The sequence below is a fragment of the Homo sapiens genome, chromosome 13 (genome assembly GCF_000001405.40).
Source record: "Homo sapiens chromosome 13, GRCh38.p14 Primary Assembly".
Lineage (NCBI taxonomy): Eukaryota > Metazoa > Chordata > Mammalia > Primates > Hominidae > Homo > Homo sapiens.
In genome coordinates this window covers 35,708,914-35,717,205 of record NC_000013.11, presented here as the reverse complement: position 1 = coordinate 35,717,205, position 8,292 = coordinate 35,708,914, and the positions used below count along the sequence as shown (strand labels likewise).

General features: G+C 46.9%; 1 annotated feature.

Annotated features, from left to right (window-relative positions):
* Positions 3,690-4,405: an enhancer, noted in NCBI's record as "NANOG hESC enhancer chr13:36286938-36287653 (GRCh37/hg19 assembly coordinates)". NCBI's record gives its function as "activates a minimal SCP1, AML or CMV promoter by ChIP-STARR-seq in primed H9 embryonic stem cells {active_cell/tissue: H9 hESC(primed)}" and the evidence as "EXISTENCE:reporter gene assay evidence [ECO:0000049][PMID:30033119]".

The window sequence follows — 8,292 nt, the reverse complement described above, 5'->3', positions numbered from 1 at the left end:
CAACCTTCAGAGGAAAATGATCTTAGAAGCATGAGACATTGCCTTAAAAGCCCAGGGAAAGAAGAAAGGTCCAAATACCAGCATCCCCTTCATGAAACCCAAGCAGCATCACTGTGGAGTTTCTGTGGAGAATCCAGGAATTGCTGGGAAAGGGGCCTGCTTGCTCTCCCTGCGCTGAACGAGGATGTGAGGCAGCAAGAAGCAAAGTCATGCTCTGTAAACAGGCGAGTGTCCGTGGCACTGCTGGGGACTCCAGGAGGAGGCTCAGCCGGCTCACTCGCTGAAATGTCACTGCTCGTCAGTGGGCACAGGAGGCCTCGGTGGCTGCTGGCTGGGGAAGCGGGCTGGTGGTGTACGTCAGGGCCTCCCACCTTCGACAGCCCAAGCTGGCCAGTCGCCTCAGAAGGGGTGCCGAAGCTGGGGCCCAGAGCGTTGGTTGGCCTCAGAGACACTCGATTGTGCAGAGTGGGATGCAAGCTCCTGTTAGCACCCAGGTGGTGGGAGGACAAGCTCTGGAACCCAGAGATTTAGGGAGCCCGGCCCAGAGATGGCACCTGCTCCTCAAATCTCCTTCCAGAAGTGATCCTGGATTTTAAGCTTCTTTCAAAGCCATTACAAGGACTTGTTGGAATGGGGTGAGGGCAGCTTAGCCAACACCCATGAAGGCTAAGATTAGACAGTGACTCATGCTTGCAAACGCTGACCACCTCCACCTCATACCTGAAGTGCAAAGTGACATTTCTCACCCTTTCCGCAAATAAATCTTTCCTGTGCAGTGTTCTCTAAGGACCTCAAGGCCTGTCAAGGACTTGGCCCCTAGCTCATTGAAACCACAGTGGATTGCCAAATTTTGCAGATGTTTGCACTGACTGCTTTATGTTTTGTAATATCCCAGAGCTGTTCCCAAGTGATGCTCATCCATTCACCAAGTTAATGCTTAATAAGAATGATCTACAAAGGGTGACAGCTCCAAAAGATGACGAGAGGGAAATAGCCTTCAAGGAGAATGGACGAGCAAAATAAATAAATAAATACAGCCCTGCCTCCACAGACTGAGGTGCAGAAAAGGGAACTCGTGTGTAGCAATTCCTAGGAAAAAAAAAAAAACAAGAAGGACAACAGTGTTTATTTATGAACATGGGCATGTTTGTGTTTCTCAGGGGGGCTGTGAGACCCCGGCAGGGCTTGGCGTGCTGGCGCTGGACTCAGGTGGAGATGAAATGTATAGATGGACCAAGGTGAGCTCTTACAAAAACATGGATCAATTTGATAGCTAAAAAGGGTCAGTTCCCAGAGCAAGAAAAGTTTAACTATGGAGGAAGCACACTGATCCCAGAGCTATAGAAATTGAATAACAATTCCTACTTTTCAACCTGGATAATCTCATGTAATGTTAGAGAAAAATCCTGAAGTCACCGGTGTCAGTGTCTCTACAACAAGATAGAAAGATTGGGGATGTTCTGAAGGTCAACCAACAATTTGGTGGCAGGTCTGGGATGAACAGGCAGGTCTCTATTCCTTTTCAGTGGTTTTTGACATGTAAAGTGCTAAATGTCTTCACAGTTACAATGTATTGCATGTTTTACATATATTGTGTCTATCTTCACTTCAGTCCTACAGGAGTGGTATTATTCTCTTTATTTAAAGATGGCAAAATTAAGGCTCGGGGAGAGATTAAGCAACAGACCCAAGGTCACAGTTTATTCAGCAAATATTAGGCCTCTATTTTGTGCTAGGCCTGGGGTTTCCCAGATACCAGGCAGAGTGAGCACAGTTCAGAAGAAGAAACTCCTGAAAGGTCTCAGCCGAAACAACCTGTATTTTAAAGAATTTTTCTCTCAAAGGATAAAACAAGCATTTGGTGCACCATGGTTTTTTGTGCTAACAGGCTGAATTCCATGTAGAAATGAGAGAAATGCTGAAATTGTTTGGAAGGATTGCAGATGTACGCAGGGTTCATTTTATTAATTAAGCAGGCCTGGATGCTAATTCAGTTGCTATGCACCAGAGCTCCCGGGAAATGCATGCCGAGGCAGAAAGACATACACAGAAATCTTTAAAGAGATTTGTATGTAATGCAGGTAGGAATTTTGGAGGATGGGAGGTGTCACGTGGCTGCACATGTTTTGCAGCACAGAATCCAGTTGCTTAAAAGTTGTGCCTGTGGTCTGTGCCATCCCCAGCCACACACCAGCTGGAGGGATACATATCACAGTAAGAAAGCAGTTTTTTGTGTGACTCTGGACCTACCCACTTTGCAGGAATCCCAGGCTGCCTCAGCTTCCCCCCAGCTCATCATATGGCCCAGGGGTTTGAGTGAGCTTGCTACCTCCGGGTACGCACCAGGCTCCTGCCTGCGCCAGCTGCAGCTGCTTCCTCTCCCTGGGAAGCTGCTGGTGCTGCTGAGGCCTGCCATCCCCCTCCAGCTGGAAGCTGCCCTGGCTGACCTTTGGCTGCCCTGTCCCTGTCCCGCTGCAGAGACTGGCCTCAGGGGTAATCCTGTCTTTAACACACCACCTCCTCTCGCCCAGAGGTCACAGAAGACTGCATCCAGAGCTGGCCTTGTCTGGAGGAGGTTTTAATGAAACAGTTCTTCTATTTATTTGTGTTGCTGCCTCTGTTGCCCGGGGCCATGGTATGGGTTCCCAAGGGGGGACGCTGAGGTTTGGGGGAGGACACTCAGAGGGGACAGCAAGCTTTCTCCCCAGTCACCTAGCCCCTGACACTGACCTGCTGTCCTTGCACCAATCCTGTGGCCTTTCTCCTGTTTTTCTCCCAGTCGAATCCTAGGTTGAATACAGTTTCATTTGCACCCTGCAACACTCACTAAAAGCAAACCGGTTTTCCCAAATGTTCACGATTCCACCAGAGGGAAAACAAAGGTCATTCAGTCATATGGAATCTGATTAACACAAAGCTCCAGACACGCACTCCTGGATTAAATGCTTTCTTAAGCCACTCCTGCCCCGGGGACAGCAGGAGCTATTTTAACTGTGGTGGAAGACCCAGCGGTTTGCTGAAGTTGCCCAGTGGGATGCATTTAGTATCCATATTTCAAGGCAGCTTTCCTAATGCTATTTTCACATTATGCATTTTTAAAGAATGAAACTATTGCTTGGATTTATAAGGAAAGGAATAGAAGAACCAATTTTATACATTGGAATAAAAGATTTTAAAAATTACTTTTAACAAGAATCAGGTTTACTGATGTCTAACTTACATATAATAAAATTCATCCTTTTTAGTGTACAATTTGGCAACAAATATAGTGCCACCACTGCAATCAAATTTTCAGCCCCTTCTCTCCACCCCGTAAAAAAGTTTCCTTGACCAGGAGCCATGGCTCATGCCCGTAATCCTATCATTTTGGGAGGCCGAAGGGAGAGGATCGCTTGAGGCCAGGAGTTCAAGACCAGCCTGGGAAACATAACAAGATCCTGTCCCAAGGAAGAAAAAAAGCTTCCTGTGACCCTTTGCAACGAACCTTCCACCCTGCAACCTCCAGCCCCTGGCAACCGTCGATCTGTTTTCTGGCCCTGTAGTTTACCTTTCCCAGAATATCATATAAATGGAAGCACATACTTATAGAGTCTCTTGTGTCTGGCTTGTTTCACACAGGGGACGCCTTTGAGGCTCATCCACATTGCTGCACGTATCAGCAGCTGATTTCTTTTTGCTGTTGAGTCGTATTTCCTTATATGGGCGTGCTGCAATTTGAATATCCTTTCACCAGTAGATGGATGTTTAGATTGTTTCCAGTTTTTAGCTGTTAAGAATAAAGCTGCTGTGAACTTTGTGAGGACATATGTTTTCATTTATTTGGGGGTAAACACCCATTAGTGGGATTGCTGGGTCATTTGGCAAGTATATGTAGAACTTTTTTTTTTTTAAGAAAGGGGGAGTTTAGGAATGTTGCTGGGTGGTTCATACAGGAAGTGAAATATCAGAGTGATGAGTTTGAAGAGTCAGCTCAGCTCTGGGCTCCATGGTGCCTTTCAAGACCTCTACCCATGGCCTTGCTGTGAGTTGGTAGACTTACTTTATTGCATCGTTGGTCTAGACACAAAGGAAGGGGCAGATCAGTTTCATTCTTAGGTGTTTCCACCTCTTACCAGCGGCATGGCCTCGGGCAAGTACTTGAGCTCATTGCGCTTCTGTTTCCTCAGCTGTAAAGTGAGCATTCCAGCAGGGATGCTGTGAGGGTGTTTTGTTCTTTACTGTGTACTCCAAATGCAGCCAGGAGGATTTTTTTTTTTTTAAGTATACAAGTGAAAAGTGTAGAACAATGCCTGGCACATAGCAAGTACTCAATAAACACCACCAGTTTAAAGTCAGAATCAGCACTAGAATTTCAAATGAAAAAGATTGTGGCAGAGCTCATTTGTCTTCCTAGAAAGCACTGATATTTTTAATTAAATATGCTCACCAGATGACATGAAGAATGTGTTCATTCATTCATCACTTCTTTACTGAGTGCCTGCTGTGGGCCAGGTGAGGAGGCCCTGTCCCGATTCCTACAGAATTTATAGTTCAGGAGGAGAGAGAGGTAGAATGAAAGGCCTGTGTTATAAGTAATTACAAACTCCTCCAGTAAGTACATCAAAAGAAAAGGACAGGGGGCTTGCAAAGAACATCCAACGGGAGAAGTCATGCCACTAGCACCACCAACCCACCTTGCATGAGTACCGCGCATTGCAGGCTAGAACTTTAGGTCAGTTATTGACTCTGATTGAAGGGAAGTGGAGTCCAGCCCCTCCTGACCTCCTCCCATGATGGCTGGAAAATCATCTCCTCCTTCGTTTAATATTCATCAGCAAACATTTACCTGGCGCCCTTTAAAATCAAACTACCGTCCTAGGCATGGAGGAAACGTACAGGCAGGATGCAACATCGCTTCTCCTGCCAGGGAGTTGACAACATCGTGGAGGATGAGACCAGGCTAATACACAGTGACAGCTCCTCTCCCTGCTGGAACTGCACAGATGAAAAGGATCATGAAACCTTGATGGGTTAACAGTTAAGCACCATTTCCCCGACCCAGATTCACCAAGGGGATGATGCCACTGGAACTCGGGGCACACACTGGCCACCTTTGCGAAATGGGGCCCACAGACCTGGAGGGCCTTCTCCTTGGGGGCCATGAGGAGGGGTGAAATCCCCTGAGTAGGAGGCCGTGGAGCAACAAAAGACCAGGGCTCAGTCCCCCGCTGCAGCCAGATGGTGTTTGCCAGAGATTTCCAGAGGAAACTGAGTGTGAACGAGCAGCAGTCTGTGGTGGAGATATGTAACGTGTCTTGGCAAGTAACAACTGTTTCTGAACATTGGAAAAGGTACTGGCTGCTGAGAAGCCATTCCTGATGTGCAGGAACTAAAGTGTCAGTGGGAACCTCCAGGACTGCTCTTCTCTTGGGGTCTTGGCCGGGTCCAGCCAATGTCAGTGAGTGGACAAATGGTCGAGCTAATATAATCCATAGGTCTTACTTGAGTTCTTACCTCAGTTGCCAGCTGTGCTTTCTGAAGGCCTTCTAAGCCCTAAGCATGGTGCTCAGTCCTATGGGGCATCCAAGATGATGATATAGGTTGTGTTAGGTTTTCAGTATCCCCAATTCTTTTGGGGTTCTCCTCCTTCCCCATCCCAATCAGGTGCTGCTATGGGACCACTCATCATGGTATCCTCCCCCTTCTAGTCACAAGACGGTCACATGATTCAGCCCAATTTTTCTACCCCTTCCCCTGGCAACGGTGGTTGAACTTGGGCTGGTCATATGACTTGAGTTGGGCCAACTAGGGACTTTTATGGGACTTCTCGATTTGGGACCACAGGTGTGATGGCTTTGTGACACACTACTGTACTGAACTGCATTTCTTAGAATTCCCTCTCCTGTATGTTTTCAGACAGGGTGGGCCATAAAAGACATACTTTTAGGAGACTGTGAGGACGGAAAAGAAGCAGTAGCCCCGTGTAGTACACACACCCTTCTTCCTGGTTACTCAAACACTCATACAGATGCTGCTGTGAAGGAACTTCACAGGTGTGCTTGAAGCCCCTGATCAGCTGGTGTTAAGTTATGGACACTACCCTGGATGGGCATAACTTGCAAAGCCTTTAAAGGCAGCTTCAGCCTTCTCCAGACATGAGCTTCTGCTTGTGTCTGTGGAGCCCTGCCTGCTTCTGATCTTGCCTTCTTGAAGCCTGCCCTAAAGATTTCTGATGTTCTTAGCCAGACAGTTCCTCACGATCAATTCCTAGGGATGCGTGGGTTTGAGAGTATGTGTCCTACTGATTCTGTTTGCCTGACTGGACCCTGACTGGTACAGCAAGAGACAGAGTTTTGCCTTTGAATTACTATGGTAGTAGAGTCTGCTAGTTGTCCTACGCATCTGTTCTCTTCTCTCATTAGACTGGAACTCTTGAATTTCAGCTAGCTCATCACCACCCACAGATTCAAAATTCAAAACAGGCTGGGTATAGGGGCTCAGGCCTGTAATCCCAGCACTCTGGGAGGCCAAGGCAGACAGATCATTTGAGGGCAGGAGTTTGAGACCAGCTTGGGTAACATGGTGAAACCCTGTCTCTACTAAACATACAAAAATTAGCTGGGCATGGTAGGGCGCACCTGTGGTCCCACCTACTCAGGAGGCTGTGGCAGGAGAGTCGATTGAATCTGGGAGGTGGAGGTTGCAGTGAGCTGAGATTGCACCACTGCACTCCAGACTGGATGACAGAGCAAGACCCTGTCTCAAAAAAAAAAAAAAAAAAAAAAAACCTCAAAAGAGAAGTAAAACATATAGTAGTCCCCTTTTATCCAGAGGGGATACATTTCAAGACACCCAGTGAAGCCTGGAACCATGGATAGTACCTAATCCTGTATTACTATGTTTTTTTCCTATACATACATATTTACGATAAAGTTGAATTTATAAATTAGGCACAGTATTCTTGAGCTCTGGGACCATTGTTAAGTAAAGTAAGTGTTACTTGCACACAAGCGCTATGATGCCACCTGAGGGCTGAGGGCAGAATCTGTCTTCACATACACTGCACACTATTTTGGCCGATCTCAGCCAAGGTCATGGAGGCGGGGCTGCCCCCTCAGGTGACCTGGGATGCCCCCTTCACTTCCTGCACCCACCCTGGCTCCAGCAAACCCAGTCACTCACACCCACAGCCACAGTAGTTGCACAGCTGTGTGACTTTATTAAAAGCTGCTGAATCAAACACTTTAAAAAAATGAATTTTATGGTAGGTAAGTTACATTGAAATAAAGCTGATATGCAAAAAGTGTATTAAAAATAAAGTATCACACAGAAAAACACAAATAATGAAAGGAAACTGAGAATGGCATTCTGGGGAATAAGTACCTTACCCAAGGTGGAAAGAGGAGGTAGATAATCAACAGAGAAAGTGGGTATTGGGAGAGGCAGGAGGAGCTTCAGAAGAAGTGGGCAGGCAGCTGCTTCAGGCACTGCCAAGTGGTCAAGGAAGAGTCGAACCAGTACAAAGGGCATGAACCAACCAGGTCACCAATGTCCCCAAGAGAGCCACGCTGGCAGTGGCTTGCAGAGCTGGCTGTGGGTGAGAAGAATTTGAAGAAGTAACAGGGTGAGGCAAGCTCTTTAGGAAGACCTGAGTACATTTTTGGTCCAAAAGCCACTCCCCTCCCCGACTCCCAGTGCTAGTGCAGTGGGAACAGGCTGAGAGGGCAGGAAGAGGGGGTGGCCTGGCCAAGGAGTAAGGACCGAGGTCTTTTCCAAGTTATGATCTTTTCTCCTTTATCTCTGGTAAGCGTTACTAGCAGGCATATTTGCTTAGGATATTAGAAAACTTAGTTTCTCAGGCCTAAAAGCCCTTTGACATGATAATAACAATAGTAACTTATTTATTGAGAGCATAACTCATTGGACATAAGCATAAAGTGGTTTTATTCCTTCCAATAACCGTCCCTTTATAATGCCATGTTGAAACATTTTTCTTACTAAAGGCCAACTAAGGTCCCTTCATCACACCATTTTGACTTGACTGTATAATTATTCATCATTCTTGGTTACTAAAACAGATTTATTTCAGCACTGAAAGCTCAGTCCTTACCACTGAAAAGGGCTATAACTGCTTTGAGCAAAGGAGTGGGTGCGATTTGGCTTTGAGTCCCCTCTTCAGTAAGAGTGGGCTCCCCAACTCCTGGGCAGGAAGCAGGCAGTCTACCCTCATGACTGTCATGGTGGGGCCATGATTTGGCCCCTCGGTGCTCATGCTCTGCTCTCCTGGCAGCCTCACCAGAGGTGGTTGCCTTC